The sequence below is a fragment of the Homo sapiens genome, chromosome 18, assembly GCF_000001405.40.
Source record: "Homo sapiens chromosome 18, GRCh38.p14 Primary Assembly".
NCBI lineage: Eukaryota > Metazoa > Chordata > Mammalia > Primates > Hominidae > Homo > Homo sapiens.
The window spans coordinates 59,019,271-59,039,474 of record NC_000018.10 but is presented as its reverse complement, the minus strand read 5'-3'; the positions used below and the strand labels follow the sequence as shown (position 1 = coordinate 59,039,474).

The window sequence follows — 20,204 nt, the reverse complement described above, 5'->3', positions numbered from 1 at the left end:
GTGGGTTCTTCTCAGCTTCTAAAGGTTGGAACACCAGAGGTCCTGGCCTTCAGTCCCCATCGGTCATTCCATTCTCCTCTTAATGTGATCAGATTCAATACTGTGGCTTTAAATGCCTCCTATATCCCAAGGACTCCAAAATTTATGTCTCCAGCCTTGATGTTTCCACTGATCTCCCGACTTACAAATGTCAGCTACCATATCATGAGTTATGATATGACTTATGAATGTCAGCTACCATATCACAAGTTATGATATGACTTATAAATGTCAGCTACCATATCACAAGTTATGATATGACTTATGAATGTCAGCTACCATATCACAAAGTTATGATATGACTTATAAATGTCAGCTACCATATCACAAGTTATGATATGACTTATGAATGTCAGCTACCATATCACAAAGTTATGATATGACTTATAAATGTCAGCTACCATATCACAAGTTATGATATGACTTATGAATGTCAGCTACCATATCACAAGTTATGACATGACTTGTGAATGTCAGCTATCATATCACGAGTTATGATATGACTTACAAATGTCAGCTACCATATCACGAGTTATGACATGACTTACGAATGTCAGCTATCATATCACGAGTTATGATATGACTTACAAATGTCAGCTACCACATCACGAGTTATGATATGACTTAAGAATGTCAGCTACCATATCACGAGTTATGATATGACTTATGAATGTCAGCTATCATATCACAAGTTATGATGTGACTCATGATAGGTCAGCTACTCACCTGACATTTCTATGTGGCTGTCTAAAAGGCCCCTTCATCTTAATTCATCCAAAACAGAAAGCTTGGTTTTCCCTCCAGACCCTGCTTCTCCTCCCACCTTTTCCATCTTAATGAATGCCATCACCATCGACTCAGACACTGAAACGCAAATCTAGAAATCATCCTCAACTTGTCTCTTTTCTGACACTTCACATCTGATGCATCAACAAGCCTTAGCAATTCCACATCTTAAACACATCCTGAATGTGACCTTCTTTCTTGATTCCAGCCACCATCACCCCAGCCTTACCATTTCTCATCTAAAATAGGGCAAAGGTCACCTAGTTGATCCTGCTTCCACTCTTGCCCTTCTTAGGTGCATTATTCACATAGGAGCCAGAGTGATCATTTTTCAAATAAACCAGATCACATCACTGTCCAGATTAAAACAAGCTCTCTCACTCCTTCCCGTTCCACCAAGACGGAAGTCTAAACTCCTTAGTGTTGTTACAAGGTCCCCCATGGTCTAGCCTTGCCCTTCTCTTGTGTTTTCTGCCACTCTTCCTCACCTTCACTAAGCTTCAACCTTCTTTCTTCTCCTTAATAAGGCTCCCGAGCTCTTGCCTGAGCACGTTTGCACTAATTGATCCTTTGCCTGAACTTTCTTGTCTCAGATTTTCCCATGGCCAGCTCCTTCTTGCCATTCCGGTCCCAGCTGAAATAGCACCTCATCCATCAGACAAGCCTTCTGAGACCTTTGGAACTAGATAAAAGTGGTTGTGCAGGCTGGGTGCCGTGGCTTACACCTGTAATCCCAACACTTTGGGAGGCCAAGGTGGTCAGATCACCTGAGGTCAGGAGTTCGAGACCAGCCTGGCCAACATGGCGAAACCCCATCTCTACTAAAAATATAAAAATTAGCCAGCCATGGTGGCAGGCGCCTGTAGTTCCAGCTACTCGGGAGGCTGAGACAGGAGAATCGCTTGAACCCAGGAGGCAGAGGTTGTGGTGAGCCAAAATTGCGCCACTGCACTCCAGCCTGGATGGCAGAGTGAGACTCTATCTCAAAAAAAAAAAAAAAAAAAAAAAAAAAAGTGGTTGTGCAATATTGTAAATGTATTAAATGCCCTGAATTTTACACTAAGTGGTTAATTTTATGTTATGTAAATTTTACCCCAATTTTTAAAAGCAAAAATGAGAATTTTCATGAGGATTAAATGAGATACTATTTCAACGTGCTTACCACAGTGCCTGACATTTCTCAAACAATTAAGAAATTTTACCTGTTAATAGTTCATATAAATAAACATAACTTTATGAAACATCATGCCATTTTCTGAATTTTTCCCATTTCACTATAGTGAGAAGTCGGAACTTCATCAAGCACCTGTACCACTCTGTGGGCCAGAATTTGAGAAGCACTGAAATAAACAATTTTGATGAATACAATCAATGTTTAAAAGGCCTGTGTTATAGAGCCATCCTAACTCATGTAATAAACGGAAGATACAGTGGAGAGTCTCCTGTGACAACAGTACTGTCTAGAAATGGACAAAGGCTCAGATGAATAAATGTGGGTCATTCCGCTTTTCTCATTAGAGTGAGAATGGTAACACATATGCATACACATATCCCAAAACAAACACCACAAGCCCTACAGCACTGAAAACGTAGTTCAACCTTATTACCTGATCAGGAAAAATGTATCAACTCCAAGATAGAAGGGACCACTCCAAGAGTAAACACACAGTGGGTTTCTAAGCACTCTGCTGTTCCATTCAAGCACATTATCTGTAACAAACATTAAAAAGCAGTGTCTTTTTGTTTCATAGAAGAAAATCATGTGATTTCTCTTTTCAGAAAAAGCAAGAGGAACACCTTCGACTTTCAGTTGTGCTGGGCAGGCTTTAAGAATCACTATAGGCCAGGCACAGTGGCTCACGCCTGTAATCCCAGCACTTTGGGAGGCCAAGGCAGGCAGATCATGAGGTCAGGAGTTCAAGACCAACCTGGCCAACATAGTGAATCCCCGTCTCTACTAAAAACACAAAAAATTAGCCAGCCATGGTGGTGGGCACCCATAATCCCAGCTACTTGGGAGGCTGAGGCAGGAGAATCACTTGAACGCAGGAGGTGGAGGTTGCAGTGAGCCGAGATCATGCCATTGTACTCCAGCCTGGGGGTGACAGAGTGAGATTCTGTCTCAAGAAAAAAAAAAAAAAAAAAGAAGAAGAATCAATGTAATTCATGTCGAAGGAGAAGTTAGACTGGGAATAAAAGGCAGTGACTGAGGTCCCTACTGGTCGTTCAGGAGCTTTGAGCTCCTTTGTGCACTCACGGTGGCCACAGCCCCCCTGGACTGTAGCACCACCTATTCATGGGCTGGTGCAGACCACCCGGGAGGCTTCTTCAATCTGCCCTGGGCTGTGTTTACTCCCTATTTAGAGAGTACCACTATTATTGATAGGAGCGCTTCAGGAGGGTAGCAGCAGGGAGAAGGTGGAGAAACACTGATTTGATATTAGTGGACCATGTTTATGCTTGTCTGCTTTTCAAGGAAAAATAAATGTTAGGTCCTGGCTTCACTAACCATGATGAGAGAGAATTCGGCTCTTTGGATAACGAAAATACAATACCCAGGTATCACTATATACCTGGCAGCCAGGTACCTGATTTATACCTAGAGGGAGTGAAAGGAGCCACTAGACACTGGCCTGGAAAGCTTACTGATGGGAGGTTACACACAGTGTGTCTAAAACAGAAGGAAGTCTGCTCGTGGGAAGGCTGCCAGTCTCCCATCCTTTGGCCAACGTGATCCCGCCATACCAAAGAATGTCTCTTCCCTGACTGCTCCTAGAGTAAAGGCTCATCAACTCTCCGCACCCAAAGACAGCCATGCAGTCATCTGACTGGTGTGTCCCGAGATGATCCAAAGAAGACTCAAGACACGAATGCCATTCAGTGCAGAGCAGGTGCCACCTGGTGCCTTTGTAGTCCAGATGGCTGGCACATTCTTCTGCCAAGAAAAGCACTCCAGAGCATGAGCCACGGCTCCTAGAAACCCTGGGCAAGAGCAAAGATGTTACTGTCCACCTTGACTGCCAGGGTATCCACACACCACCCCGCAACAAGAACCAAAGCACAATCCACAGATCTTGGCAGTTACTCGGAGGCTCTCTTGCTCTGACCCTGGGCTTCTCAGCTCAGCCTCCGTGGTTCCATCTTCATCTATCTGTGGACTTTCATACTTGGTATCCCTCCCTTTTGAATCTTGACTTTCCCTAACAGACTTGACCTGAGTTTGGTGCCCCACATGCTTTGCACAGAATACGCTGCCCAAGCTCAGGCCCCAGAGATGCCAACCCCTGACCCCAGTCCTGCTTGACGAAGAGTTGAGGGAAGGAGAACGCAGACATCAGTAAGAATCGATGTGATACACAAAGCAAGACTTTCACTTGAAAGAACACCCCTGCAATCCTGAGGACTAGTTACTTATGAATAATGAGCCAGGTGCGGTGGCTCACGTCTGTAATCCCAGCACTTTGGGAGGCCGAGGCAGGTGGATCACTTGAGGTCAGGAGTTTGAGACCAGCCTGACCAACATGAAACCCCATCTCTACTAAAAATACAGTTAGCCGGGCATGGTGGTGCATGCCTGTAGTCCCAGCTACTCCGGAAGCTGAGGCAGGAGAATCACTTGAACCCAGGAGGTGGAGGTTGCAGTGAGCTGAGACTGCACCACTGCATTCTAGCCTGGGTGACAGAGTGAGACTCCGTCTCAAAAATAATAATAATAATAATAATAATAATAATAATAATAATGAATAACAACCCTAACGTAGGTCAAAGTATAGGCATGAAAACAGAAGGACCAGTGGCACAGGAGCTTAGGGCACAGGCCATATAGCCAGATGCTCCTGGCTCTGATTCTGTCATTTATCAGCTCTGTGACCCCCGGCAAGTGAATTAACCTCTCTGTGTCTAAGTTTCCACATCTGCAAAATAATCAAAGTAGATTTTAAAGGATTATCATGAAGAACAAATGAGATAATGCTTATAAATCACATTAAATAGAGGCAACCTAGTATGTACTCGTGAGAACACAGCTACTACTACCACTGTTTTAAGCCCTATCACTTTAAGAATGGTTAATACCATCTTCTTAATTCATTCCCTTTCTTAAAGAATTTAATGTTTACCTATCTGAGAACGAAGCAAGTGTCTGGAATTGCAAAACAGGGGCCTCCAAGCTCAAGCCGGCTCTGAGAGACTCACATTTCCTCCTGGACAGAGCCCCGTGCCTTCAACATTGTGGGCACAAAGAAGTCTTTGCAGAATTAAAACTTATTCACAAATGAGGTCTGGCTCATAACCAAACTCTGGAAATCTAAGGCAATTTCTTAAATTGAAGAATTTAACTACCTAACATTTTGAAGTTCCAGCCGTGAATACAAGTTTTTCCATTTAAGTCACTTTGTGATTGCGTCTCTGTCTGAAGTCACCACACCCACCCTTTTCATTCACAGGGGTTTTCACTCAGGAATTGGCCACAACTACAGCACAACCAGCAGCCTCCTAGAGCTGATTCACCTGCTCCTCCTCAGTTTCCCGAGCAGTGGAGAGATACAGGACCCGGGCTCTGCCAGGTTTGGCCAACTTCTTTAGCCTCCCTGAGCCTCAGTTTCCTCGCTTTTAGAATGGGTATAATTTTTGGTAGGGTTGTAATGGGGATTCTAGAACATCAAATATCTGGTTTGATGCCTCATGTGGCAAGCTAGTGCTCAATATGTTTTGTTACTATGTTTTTTCCATCTAAATTCTGCTAGTGAATGAACTTACCCATCAGTGGTTTATAAAGGTTTCTGAAAATAACTGGTCTAGAGGGAGGACAACCTCCCTGAGGCTCATTTAGCTCATTTGTAAATGGAAAGTGTTATAAACAATAAGAACGTGGGGAGGATTGGCTGAAATGATGCATGCAATCACCGGTTCTCAAAGCAGAGGTCTCTGAGCCAGCAGCTTCAACATCACCTGGGAACTTATTAGAAATGCAGATTCCCAGGCCCCACCACAGACTTACCAGGTCAGAGTCTTTGGGTCAGGGCCCAGGAATCTGTGCTGTAATAGTCTTCCAGGTGACTCTGATGCACTCCAAAGTTGAAGACCCATTGGTTGTGACAATGCTCTAAAAAACTTTGCAGCCACTTCCGGTTTGCTCAATCACAGTGAGCCCACTTTAAGCAACAGGCCGTTAAGTAAGAGCCCTGTTGCCCAGGGGCTGAATCCATAGCTATGTATGTATGTCATGAAAACTTCCTTATACATTCACTCATATTGTTCTCATCTAAAGAGCAAAGGACAGGCTCATGTGACGGGAAAGCATTCTAAGCAAATGCAATGGTTATTTGGAGGATAAAGAGTCAGGAATCCAAATACCCAATTTAGCTCTAAACTTCTAGAAGACACGGTGGTCTTATGTTGATTTGACTCACTGATTAACGTAAAAGTGGAGAGAGAAAAAAATGCTGAATCTCTGGGTCTCTCCGAATTGATTTTTATTTTCAAACATTCAGAGATGTGATATTTTACCTTTGATGGGTTTTTGTTTGTTTTTTCTTTTTGAGACAGGGTCTGGCTCTATCCCCCAGGCTGGAGTGCAGTGATATGAACTCAGTTCACTGCAACCTCCATCTCCAGGCTCATGCAATCCTCCTGGCTCAGCCTCCTGGGTAGCTGGGACTACAGGCACACACCGCCATGCCCGGCTAATTTTTGTATTTTTTGTAGAGACGAGGTTTTGCCACATTGCCCATGCTGGTCTTGAACTCCTGGGTGCAAGCAATCTTCCTGCCTCAGCCTCCCAAAATGTGGGGATTATGGGCGTGAGCCACCACGCCCAGCATCCTTTAATGGTATTAAGTACAAAAATTAAAAACTTGTTATGGCAACAGAACATGGAAAACCCCTATTTTGAGACCACATTTCAATGTGCCTGCTAAAAGAAAGCTAACATAACGTTAATGTCCTGATCATAGGGTGCCTCATTTTGGGTGAGGAACCTAAAGTTTCAGTCCCTAACACCATACCAGGTGTGTCTGGCCTAAATCCTGTGATCCAGCCTTAAAAGGTCGGGCTCTGAGGGCCAGCCTAGCAGAGATGAGCACAATGGTGAATTCTAATGACTGTGGGCTCCACTCCCATCAGAGAGTTGGAAGCACGTGGCATGTCCCTGCAACCCAGCTCTGTGGACGTGGCATGTCCCTGCAACCCAGCTCTGTGGACGTGGTATGTCCCTGCGATCCAGCTGACCCTGCTGCTCACTGAGCGAGGTCAGAGCAGCCCAAGCATGTAGCCTTGGCAGATTTAAGCCCCTACCCTTTCTTTCCTCTCGTGGCTTAACCGAAGAGAATGAGGAAACAAGGAATGAATTTAGGAGGAGGTGGTAAGTGCTCATGATCTCATTTAATTCCTTCCACAGATCCCATTCTATGCCCCTGTTTTACACATGTGGAAACTGAGGTTCATAGAGGTCACACAATCTGACCAAGGTGAGAGTTAGCAATCAAAGCATGTTTGACTGGGTCACAGGATCCCTGAGCATGTGCTCTTTCTGCCACTCCGACTGTGGAACTGTCTACAGGCTGCCGGTGTGGGAGTGCGGGGTTGGGGGCGGGGAGTGGCACAGAGACAGAGGTCTAGAACCACATCGTGTGAAGTAATTGAGGGGTTCTGAGACTTGGACAGGGCCGTCATAACTGCCCTCAACATCTGATGGGGCTGCAATAGAAACAAGAGAGCATGATTATTTTCTGGGCCCTAGAAGGCAAAACCAGGGCCCCTGGTGGGAATTACAGGACAGCAGGGATTGCCTCTCATTCAGAAGCCTGACAGCCAGCACTTCCCATCACAGATGGGTCCACAGGAAGCCACCCGGCTGCTAGAGCTGCTTCCAGCTTTGGGAAAGAGGTTGTGCCAGGGACCTCTAGGCCTTCTTGGCTCCTTCTTATATCATATCTCTGCTTACACATACATGTGTTTTGTTTTTCTTATTGTTGAGCTTTTTGTTGGTGTTGCTACTGTTTTTCTTTTGGCCTTAAGACCCGAATAGGGCTGGGCGCAGTGGCCCACGCCTAGAATCCCAGCACTTTGGAAGGTTGAGGCGAGTGGATCATTTGAGCCCGGGAGCTTGAGACCAGCCTGGGCAGCACATGGCAAAACCCCATCTCTACTAAAAATACAAAGATCATTTGAGCCAGGAGGCGGAGATGGCAGTGAGCTGAGATCATGCCACTGCACTCCAGCCTGGGTGACAGAGGGAGACCCTGTCCCAAAAAAAAAAAAAAAAAAAAAATCTGAATAGGATTTGAGAAAATAATTTCTATGCCTTCCACAGTAGGCATATTCCCTGAAGCTACTTATCATTTATTCATATCCATTCATATCCTTCTAGTTCATTCACTGAAATTTCTTTTCTTTTCTTTTCTTTTCTTTTTTTGAGACAGTCTTGCTCTTGTCACCCAGGCTGGAGTGCAGTGGCACGATCTCAGCTCATTGCAACCTTTGCCTCCTGGGTTCAAGCAATTCTCCTGCCTCAGCCTCCCGAATAGCCAGGATTACAGGCACCCACCACCATGCCTGGCTAATTTTTGTATTTTTAGAAGAGACGAGGTTTCACCATGTTGGCCAGGTTAGTCTCGAACTCTTGACCTCAGGTGATCCACCCGCCTCGGCCTCCCAAAGTGCTGGGATTAGAGGGGTGAGCCACCGAGCCCAGCCATTTCATTTTTATTTTTATCCCCCTAGTTGCAGTAAGAAAGGATAATTGTGTGGACCTAAAAGAAATCTGTCAAATATTATTCCATGCTCTGTTCTTTTTTTTTTTTGATTCAGGGTCTTACTCTGTTGCCTGGCTAATTTTTAATTTTTTTTTTTTTTTGTAGAGATGGGGGTCTTGCTGCATTACACAGGCTGGCCTCAAACTCCCGAGCTCAATCAGTCCTCCCACCTTGACATCCCAAAAGTGCTAGGATTACGGGCATAAGCCACTGAGCCCGACCCTCTTATTCCACATGTTCTGAAGGTACTTGAGTGACCAGGCTTTTTTGTGTGAGAGAGAGACACATTCTGTTTGCCTTGGTGTATAGGTAGGCAGGTAGAAATGAAGGCAATGCTCCTGATTTTTCACTAAAACCCAATGCAGTCTATCTCATCAAAATCCGGCCTCTCACTACCTATGCTGGGTTAATCTGTTTCTGGCTCACACATAGCATGCTGTGTGAATTAGCTTGTGTTGCACACTCAACACCCTCCCTTCAGTTTCTATGTAAATCACTCCCCTTCCTGGTGATGTCAGGAAGCTTCTACGGGTCATGTGTGTAAGTGTGACACTGAAAGCAGACACTGTGGCCATGGAATTGTTCCTTAGAGAATTGCTGCAGTGAAACCCCAAGCCCTGTTCTAGTCTTTGATCAGCACAAAAACACACTGGATAATTGTACCCACAAAATAAAGCAGCATTTTTAGCGACCTTGCCTGACCTTAGCATGCTGCTGGTAAACAAAGATGGGACTGTCAAGAGCGGAGATCCAACCTCCACACTGACATTTGGAAGCTGCCGGGCGTTTGCTAGAAGCCAGCACTGTAGGCATTCGTTTCCAACTGCACACTCGGCTAAGTCACTTCTCCTGGGTGGTCTTAGTTTCATTCAAATGCCTACTTTTTCCTCTGCTGGAGGCTGCTGACAGGAGGAGATGTGCCCGGCAGTGTGTCCGTGGGATTCTGCTTCTTTGTTCATTGCTCTCCGCCTCGCTCAGTGGCAGACTCCCGTAAGTGGCCAGAGGTTCCCCGTGTTCCCGCGATGTCCTGCAGGCTGACCCCCATTCCCTAGCTGCCACGCAGACTGTTCCAGCCGGAGGGAGGATGAGACCCAGCAAGGTGATGAACCTGCAGGAAGAAGACACAACAGCTGTGCCTTCCCTCATCTCAGGACACCGAAACAAGACGCCGAGAAAACGGGCCTGTGAAAAGCAAACCGCTGCATACTTACGTAGAAAAACCTTTAACAATTTTAAGGATGGAGAATGATGCTGTAAGAATAAAACTAATGAAAAAAGAGAAAAAATATAAAGGAAAATATTAATGGATTTCACTTAACTTGTCATAATTATTTTTAAAATCTTAAAGCAACCAAAATACTGAGGAAGATGTCTGCAGCTGATATGACTCAGAATTAATATTCTTTATATACATAATAAACTTTAAAAATTAGTAAGAACCTGGCTGGGTGCGGTGGCTCACACCTGTAATCCCAGCACTTTGGGAGGCCGAGGTGGGCAGATCACCTGAGGTCAGGAGTTTGAGACCAGCCTGGCCTACATGGTGAAACCCCAACTCTACTGAAAATACAAAAATTAGCTGGGCATGGTGGTGTGTGCCTGTAGTTCCAGCTACTTGGGAGGCTGAGGCAGGAGATTCTCTTGAACCCGGGAGGCAGAGGTTGCAATGAGCTGAGATCGCCCCACTGCACTGCAGCCTGGGTGACAGAGCGAGACTGTCTCAAAAAAAAAAAAAAAAAAAGAAGAGCCTAACTAATACACACATGGAAAAGGGGGTAAAGAATACGAATTTACAAGAGAAAAATACAAGTGACAGATAAACTTAGGAAAGAAAAACCCTCTTTGCCAGTTTTTTGAAGTTGTAAATTAAACCAATGTATTCACCTATCAAATTGGTTCCACTTTTTATAAAGGTAGTAGCTTTTGATGCTGGTGAGAGGGTAAAGGAACACATGAGAGTTTCCTACTGGGGGCAGGAAAAATGAATTGTTCAGGAAAACAGCATCAAATGGTTCAAGTTATGACCCAGCAATTGTACTTCTATTTAATTTATGCTAAGAGGCCGGGCGCAGTGGCTCACGCCTGTGATCCCAGCACTTTGGGAGGCTGAGGCAGACAGATCATGAGGTCAGGAGTTCGAGACCAGCCTGGCCAACATGGTGAAACCCCGTCTCTACTACAAAAATATAAAAATTAGCCAGGCATGGTGGCATGTGCCTGTAGTCCCAGCTACTCGGGAGGCTGAGGCAGGAGAATTGCTTGAACCTGGGAGGCGAAGGTTGAAGTAAGCTGAGATCACACCACTGCACTCCAGCCTGGGCAACACCCAAAAAGTATTGGGTGACTTGCTGTAATGTCTGTAGGCAAGGCAATGCCTCAAATAAAAAATTAATCTTCAGTGGTCACCTGACAGCAAGGAACAGGAATGTTTTGGGATAGAATACATTTCTCAGTGGTCCTGAAACCAATCACACTGGGCATGGTCGGCCTTCCCCTTGAACAATTGTGCATTTTCTTGTTTAAGGTAAATGGTGGGCTGAGCATGGTGGCTTACGCCTGTAATGCCAGCACTTTGGGAGGCCAAGGTGGGTGGATCACCTGAGGTCAGGAGTTCGAGACCAGCCTGGCCAACATGATGAAACCCTGTCTCTACTAAAAATACAAAATTAGCCGGGTGCAGTGGCACACGCCTGTAGTCCCAGCTACTCGGGAGGCTGAGACAGGAGAATTGCTTGAACCCGTGAGGTGGAGGCTGCAGTGAGCTGAGATTACGCCACTGCACTCCAGCCTGTGTGACAGAGCAAGACTCTGTCTCAAAAAAAAAAGGTAAATGGTGATCTCCCTGTGTCTCAGTCTATTTGGCTGTTATAACAAAATACCATAGGCTAGGCGGCTTATATGCCCCAGAAATTAATTTCTCACAGTTTTGGAGTCTGGGAAGCCCAGAATCAAAGTGCTGGAAGATTCGGTGTCTGTTGAGAGCCCACTTTCTGGTTCATAGATGGCGCCTTCTAGCTGTGTCCTCACATGGTGGAAGGGGCAAGAGGGCTCTCTGGGGTCCCTTGTCTAAACTACCTGACCCCATTCGTGAAGGCTCTGCCCTCATGACAGGCACCTCTCAAAGGCCCCATCTCTGGATATCATCACATTGCGGGTGAGATTCCAACTTATGAATTTTGTAGAGGAAACAAAAACACTCAGACCATAATATCCTGAAACAGGCAGCACTGGCCAGACATCGTGCAATGAATGAAATGTAATAGTGAAATGCAGTGGATAAGGGGAAGTTGATAAAACAGTACCGACAGATCACAACCCACCCAGGTACCTTGGATGTCCATACTCACAGACATACGGCAGCAAATGTGTCCAGGGGGATCTTTCCAGCAGCACATCTGGTCACACTCCCACCAGACAAGGAGGAAGAATTTATTGTAAAAAGAAAGAGGGAAGGGGCCAAAAATGAAGTATTTCTGAATCTTAAAGTATCTACCAGAAAAGAAAAAGAGAGTGTATAAATCATTTAGTTTGTAATAATGCCTTACATTTTTCCAAGTGTTTTCATATCTATTGTTTCAAAACGAAACTTTTACAGTAAAAAGGGACAGCTGGAGCTGGGTGCAGTGGCGCACGCCTGTAATCCTACACTTGGGAGGAGGCCGAGGCAGGGAGATCACTTGAGGTCAGGAGTTTGAGACCAGCCTGGCCAGCATGGTGAAACCCTGTCTCTACTAAAAATAGAAAAATTAGCCAGGCATGGTGATGCACGTCTGTAGTCCCAGCTACTCGGTAGGCTGAGGCACAAGAATCACTTGAGTCCGGGAGGCAGAGGTTACAGTGAGCCAGTATCATGCCACTGCACTCCAGCCTGGACCACAGAGCGAGACTGTCTCCAAAAAAACAGGGCGGGGACAGCTGGTTTTGAATATATCTGATTTACAGCTGGAGGGAAACAGGGCACAAAAATGTGGAAACTCACGGAATGAGGAACTCTTAGCCTAGCTGGAAGTAAACCCGGGTCTCCTGAATCAGTCTTTTCTCCTGGCCTTTCCTAGCACACGGTACTGGGTACAAAAAAACTAAACACGTGCCATTGCTGGCTCAAATCTATTAGTGAACAAGCCCCCTGAGAGAGAAATGCAATATAAGATGGAAATATACAATTGCAGCCCATAGTCTGGGGAAAGGTGCCGTCTGAAATTAAAGGTAAGAAGCAGCCAGTCAGGACACAGCTGATGAGCACTGGAAGAAATTGCGCGTAAAGATCTTACTGGTAAGACTAGGGCAGTTGTCTCCAATTTTACAAGCCTCAGAATTACCTTGAGGGCCTGTTGGCTCTCTGCCTCCCCTCCCTGCAAGTTTCTGATCCAGGAGGTTCGAGGTGGAACCTGACTTTGCACTTCTGACAAGTTTACAGGTGCTCTTGCTGTGAATCCCAGGAGCACACGGTTAGAATTAAGACCAGGGGACTTCCAAAATCCCCACAAAGGATGGGAACACGGTTTTCCTCCTTCTTTAAAATGGGGATCATAATAGTACCTACCTCGTAGGGTTGTCATGAGAACTAAGTGACACAATGATTGTAAAGCCCTTAGGACAGTGCAGGACAGGCAGTAAGTTTGATAAATGTTGGGTGTTCCTCATCTCACCACACCACATTGCCTAGTCTTGCATTCAAGAGGCTCAAGTTTGAGCTAGCTTGCTGTGTGACCCTGAGCAAGTCGCTTCATCTCTCTGGGTCTCATTTCCTCATCTGCGTAACAGTGAAGGGTGGGTCAGACACGATGTATTCTTTTATTATTATCATACTTTAAGTTCTGGGATACATGTGTAGAATGTGCAGGTTTGTTACATAGGTATACACGTGCCATGGTGGTTTGCTGCACCCATCAACCCGTCATTTAGGTTTTAAGCCCCGAATGCATTAGGTATTTATCCTAATGCTCTCCCTCCTCTTGCCCCCTACCCCCTGACAGGTCCCCGTGTGTGATGTTTCCCTCCCTGTGTCCATGTGTTCTCACTGTTGAACTCCCACTTATGAGTGAGAACATGCAGGGTTTGGTTTTCTGTTCCTGTGTTAGTTTGCTGAGAAAGATGGTTTCCAGCTTCATCCTTGTCCCTGCAAAGGACGTAAACTCATTCTTTTTTAGGGCTGCATAGTATTCCATGGTGTATATGTGCCCCATTTTCTTTATCCAGTCTATCATTGATGGGTATTTGGGTTGGTTCCAAGTCTTTGCTATTGTAAATAATGCTGCAATAAACACAAGGGACATGATGTATTCTAATGTCCTTTCCATCTCTAACCCTCAAGGTTCCCATGAGTCTGTGACCCAAGGGTTTCTGAAATGTCCAAAAATGCTGCTGAAAGACTAATAATATGTGATTAACTGTGATTCTTAATTGTAGCATGGTAAGGGTAGAGACGAGAAGGAAGGGTCATCTGTGTGTCCTCAGCCCTGGCCAAGAGTTGGGGTGCTTGATCTAGGTTACCAGCAGGTTCCCACAGGAGACCTGGCAGCAGAATTTTTCATAATCCAATTCCATTTGCTCTGAACCAATGCTCCCTGGAGCTACTTCCTGTTAGTATTTGGGTATCCAAACTAAACTCTTCCACTGAAAACGAAGTGTACTGACCAGCCAGCGCACGTCTGTTCCCTTTGGAAGTTCTATTTCTAATTTTAAAGGAATCAAATGGCATTTTTGTTTTGGTTTGGTTTTTTTTGTTTTGGTTGGTTGGTTTTTTTGTCAATCAACCACAGCCCAGCTCTAAATCCTGCCATAGTAAACAAAGACAACCGGCAGCCCACGCACATCCAATCGGCCTTAAGTAATCAGCCTTAAATGTCTATGCTGTGCTAGATTCCAGATCTACAAGGGAAATATGAAACCTTTATTGGAAACCTCTGTTGAATCTGTTTTCCAACAACTTCTCACCCCACCCCACCCTGACCTCTTCACTAACACAAGGTCAGCTCAAGCCCTGTCTAAATTCCCCACTCTTACTCTATCCATGCTGGGCTCTGCTTCTCCAGCTTGTATGCCCAGCCCCAGCACTTGATGTGAGGTTGGACATTTCTTTCCTGACAGTGTTTCCTAATAGCTCAGGCACACACACTTTTCTTCCTAACTAAATTGTGCATTTTTTTGAAACGAATACTCTCAATCATTTTGATCCCCTTCCTCCTCCCCAGCGCATACAGGTGATGTCTCATACAAAGGCCAGAGAGAAAATTGCTCAATAAATATTTTCTGAATTGAATTGAGAACACAAAACGGTATTCTGTGAAATGTTTTGGATTCCTTTTGAATCCTTAGCCAGAAAGGCAATTCTATGGGTAATTCAAGGAGTTACTATTAAAAGAGTTCCATTTTCTCCATTGGCGCTCAGGGAATCTGTAAGAGAGAGTTCGAGGAGAAAAATCTTCCCTCGTGCTTCTAGCACAGTTGTTCTGCTATGTAGGCCTAGTGATTCTCACAGGCAAAGCAAGGTGAAATTAGCCTAATAGAGCATAGGAAAGAGCACAGTTTAAAGCTTATTGTAAAGGACTGTTAAACGTTGATTCTAAGCGACTCGGAACTCATTGCTTTTGGCCACTGCAAACTGGGACAGTGTGATAATCATAAAACATTATAAAGTCTCCAATGGGACAGACTTAGAGTGAGTGTGTCTCAGACTTAGAGTGAGTCCCCGAGAATGGAAATATGCAGCTCTTCAGTGTTGTGTCTGGATAAAATCAGACACAAGTCAGTGTTAAACAGACCTTTAAAACAAGCCCCAGGCTGGGTGCGGTGGCTCACACCTGTAATCCCAGCACTTTGGGAGGTTGAGGCAGAAGGATCGCTTGACTCCAGGAGCTTGAGACCAGCCTGGCCAACACAAGGAGACCCCATCTCTACAAAACATTTACAAATTAGCCGGGTGTGGTGGTGCATGCCTGATCTCAGCTATTTGGGAGGTTGAGGTGGAAGGATGGCTTGGACCCAGGAGATAGAGGCGGCAATGAGCCATGATTGTGCCACTGCACTCCAGCCTGGGGGACAGAGCAAATTCTTTTCTCAAAAAAACAAAGCAAAAACAAAAACACCCAAGCCCCTTCTTTGTCAGCTCTTTTGTGGTCCCTGTGACCAGGTAGATTGCCTCTGCCTCACAATTAAACTTCAGCAAGATTATCTAACATTTGTCAAGCATATTCTAAGAGCAGGGCCCTGAGCTAAGGGGCTATGAGTCCCTATCCTCCCAACTCCCTGTTATGTTAAAGGGAACTCAGATAATCTAGCCAGACTAGGAAGTAGGTATTAGGTAGTCTTTTGGGTTGAACTGTGTCCTCCAAAAAGGTTCAAGTCCTAACTCCTAGTACAGCATATGTGATCTTATTTGGAAATAGGGTATTTGCAGATGTAATCAACTTTAAGATGAGGTTAGGGTGGGCCCTAAATCCAGTATGACTGGTGTCCTTATGCGAGGGAAGTTTGGACACGCAGGGAAGAACTCCACATGCAGGTGGAGGTAGAGGTTGGAATGATGTGGCTACAAGCCAAGGAGTGCCAAGAATTGCTGGCAGCCACCAGGCACGTGGAGTGGGGCAAGGAACAGACTCTCCCTCAGAGCCTCCAGAAGGAACCAACCTCATCAACACCTTGACTTCTGAGGTTTAGCCTCCAGAACTGCAAAAGAATGAATCTCTGTCGTTCTAAGCCACCCAGTGTGTGTTCACTTGTTACAGCAGCGATGGGAAAGGACTATTAATGACACCAAAATGCATGGGTCTGGATTTTTAGGAAAATATCCCATAATTGGGTTTCATAATCACCACATCCAAGTTCCATCCAGGCTCTCAGCATTCTGGTGTTACATATTTTTATTCTTAGGAACTCTGGTAAAGTCTGTTGGGTGAAATTTTATAACATTCTATGACAACAACTGTGCAGCGTTTTGCCCTAGCCTTTGGCCAAAAGCAGTTACGTCCTGACCTGCCAGGATCTTGCTCTCCCTCTGCAGTACTGGGGCACTTTTTCTCGCCCGATCTGAGACCAGCCCTCCCTGCTCCCCTCCTCTGGGTGAGTGCAGTCCGTGCAAACAGCTTCCACCTGGTACTGCCGAGCTGGTTGTCTCACATCTGTAGAGGAAATATTGGCAGCTCCATCAAACAGCTTTAAGGAATAGCTGACAAATCCTTTCCAGATGGGGACCTTTTACCCTGGGCAAAGACCTCTAATTTCTATCTGCTGCCTCTGTGCCAGAGCTGGAAAAATGCCTGGGCAGCAAAGACTAAATTCCCCTTATCCATCCACCCACGTCAGCTCAGCTCACAACAACCAGGCCGTTTTCTTTTCCTGGTTCCTCAAAGAGAATCTCCATCTTGTTTCTCTTTGAATGCTTCTTTCTCAAAACATCTTTTTATCAACGGCAATTATTTCTAATATTTTATTTTATTCTAATGTCAACTCTGGCTAGAAAGCTTGGCATTAGTCTGAAAAATTAGGCTAATTGACAAATCTCTTAAATAATAAGGACTATTAACTCATTAGACTTACAGAGTCACTTAGTCACTTGAAATGCTAATTTAATAATAACTACACATTTATCTTTGTTTCTAGGATATTTACGGCTTATCCAACAAGAATTGAAATTTGAATTTGATTTGCAATGATTTATTGCTTTTTTAAACAGCACATGAAATACCTGGCTAGATAGATAATATACCCAAAGCTACAGGAATCGTCACAAATGCAAAGGACCATTTAAGATTTTGACAACTAGCTGCAATATCAATACTTTAAAGGAGAACTCTTAATAATGTATAACTTTATTATATGTTAGTTCTTCTCACTCCTAATAATGTATAACTTTAGTGTGTGTTAGTTCTTCTCTGGATGACCAGAATAAATATAAAATACAATAGTGGCAAAAATCTAGGTTTAAAATTCTTGCTTTGAAAACTTTGAAAGACTTAGGGGAAGTCAAATCAGTTTCTGTGGAGACTAAAATGTATTCCTTCTGCATAGCTAAGGGAGAAGTGATTAGAAGGCCATAGAGAGAGCCATGCAGAGCCACCCCTCACTGTACAGAGGAAGAGACTGAACTTGGGGAGATTAAGTAATTGGCCCAGGATCACACAGCTGGGAGGTGACAACCAGGACCAAATGCTGGGCTCTTAATGCTAATCCATTACAACATGTTGACAGTACACAGTCCTCGTTCAGAATGGCCTCTGGATATGGCAGGTGGCAGATTGCCACACATGGGCCAGGGCACAGAACACTCACAATAGTGAAACCAAACACCACCCACCTCCTTTCTTCAGCCTAACCAGGCAGCTGTGGGTGAGGAAAGATGGTTTAACTTTATATTTTTATTACATAAAGATTCAACTCTATCTCTTCCTTATTGTCTCCCTTCCTACCTACTCCATTACTTATTCCACCATCTTTACCCCTGGACCCCTCAAACCTCCATTAGGCTCGGTTTATTAGATTGATCACGATGAAAGGTTGGCTCAATCCTGAAGGAATTACCTTTCTTGGTTCTAAGAGCTGGGGTTTTCCCAACATTATGCTGTGAGATGATAGTTTCACTGGATATTCTTTTGTACCTACCCAGCCGAGACATCAGAGTCACATCCTCTTCAGCACAAGAATCAGGGACACACACGCCCACACTGTAGTCAGCCCCATCCTGGGAAACACATCGCCACAATGTTCTTTCATTTTGGCATTCATAACATATACGCATGATCATCCCAAGTAAGTTTGCTGCTAAATAATCAGATTGGGAGTGGGAGAGAAGGATGTTGAAAGAAGAAAAGTGTTCTAACTTCTTAAAAGATGACTTTTCCATTACTGAGTAGTTCAAGTGAATTTCCAGAGCATCAGACACATGCATATTAAAAAAAAAAAAAAAGCCTCAAGGCTTAATGTAGCTGATTCTTTAAAAAGCAACCACTAGTTTTGGATAATCTGCCCCATTGCCTGTCTCTTCCATATTAGAGTTCATTAAGAGTTGCATCTCCTGCAATTTTCAATACAATTTCCAAGTTGCCATTTCTTGGTGGCAGGACACATTGTATCAAATAAAGATTTTATTAACAAATCAAGCCAATAACTAGAATGCCATCCCAATAGAGAAAACATCAAATTATAAATAAAAAATTCTGAGGTGATTGTTTTAAACACGTAATTTAGAGGATTGTGTAGGCCTGACCTTTTTCTCCAATATCAAAACCATTAATCTGCTTTGAAAATGACATTTGTATGCACTGATTAATCCCCTCAAGCAATCACTATCCCAACCCTCAGCATGACAAATGGAGCTAGGTGGTCATCTCCCTGTCTCCACGGCGAACCATTCTAAGATCATTTTATAGCATTAATATCAGAGAGCTTGGATTTCTTATTGTTACTTTATACAGTTGTTATTAGCCAACTTGTAATTTTCCTTTAGTACTGTGTGACACACATAAAGTCTATCTTTGTATTTAATAACAGGCTATGCTGTTCCTAGTTTTGTTTTTTGTTTTTGTTTTTGTTTTGTTTGTTTGCTTTGTTCCTGAGCAATAAAAGGATTAACATGCTTTGAAGATAGCCCTGCAAACTTGGTCAACTGATTTAGTAATGTTTTCATAAAAGTCCTGGCCCATCTGCTAGGATAACCTCAAATTCATGTTCAGAGCTCTGTTTCTGAGAAAAGAGTTAAGGGTAATGGGAAGTCCACCCTGCCTCTGGTATTCTAAAAGCTGTTGATGAATCAGGAGTGCATTTAAAGCTCCTTGACTTAATCCACCTCATACCAAGTAATGATGCGGTCCTTTGGTAAAGGACCTCAAAATCTGAAGTAGAGGAGAGTCCCTACTGGACCCCAGCAGAGAAGGGCAGAAGAGAGCTACCAGCAAACTCAAAATAGCTCTCAAAAAGAGAGCTATAGCATTTGAAGCTATAGAAGCTGCTGACCAGTGTTTGACCTTGGATTCCCGGTGAAAGTTGTCCAGAGGTCTTGCCCCATACAATGTGGTAGAAGGAATATCTCAAGTCCTATGTGGTTTGTGAACAACAGTCTCATTTAATGTCCCACACTCAAGATGCGGAGCAGGTTTCTGTCAAGTACTTAAAACTTAGTTTTTATTTTTTGCAAAACATCATAATAGTTTTTTTTTAATTAAGAAAAGGAATCAATGGAGTTGTATTTTGTTCTATATCATGACATTCACTTGTCCTGCAAGAGCAAGCGTGCAGGTCTCCCACACTCACCTGCAGTATATGAAGCTTGCAGTACCACCCTCGGAAGTTCCCCTTGGGAGCAGGGGTGGAAAGACACTCCATGTATGATCCCAGCCTGTCCATTGTTTCCATTGAAAGTGTTGCTCCCAAGCTTCCCCAGAGAGTCATACACTGAATTGCAAGGCAAGATAAGTTTGCAGAATTACTTTTCTGGAGTCACGTTTAAATAAATTGATAGGTACTCAGCTCTACCTTCTGAATCTATCAAACTTATGTGACTGAAAAAGAAGAGAAACAGATCTAGTCAGATGCTACTCTTTGAGCCTATGTTTTGCATACATAGCCCCTCTCATCATGCTGGGAGAACAATGATGTGAATTTTCGTGCTATTACATTGTCTACCAACAG

General features: G+C 44.2%; 1 pseudogene across 1 annotated transcript in view; it reads right to left on the bottom strand.

The window, feature by feature from the left end:
• The window catches only part of OACYLP (O-acyltransferase like, pseudogene), a 72,699-nt pseudogene that overhangs the window by 29,835 nt on the left and 22,660 nt on the right, over positions 1–20,204 (bottom strand). Inside the window, exons 2-7 of the transcript NR_024021.3 lie at positions 19,827–19,967; positions 18,180–18,258; positions 11,927–12,068; positions 9,461–9,687; positions 3,628–3,807; positions 2,433–2,535 (exon numbers count right to left, since the gene is read on the bottom strand). The product of NR_024021.3 is annotated as an O-acyltransferase like, pseudogene (transcript). The remainder of the gene's footprint in view (positions 1–2,432; positions 2,536–3,627; positions 3,808–9,460; positions 9,688–11,926; positions 12,069–18,179; positions 18,259–19,826; positions 19,968–20,204) is intronic.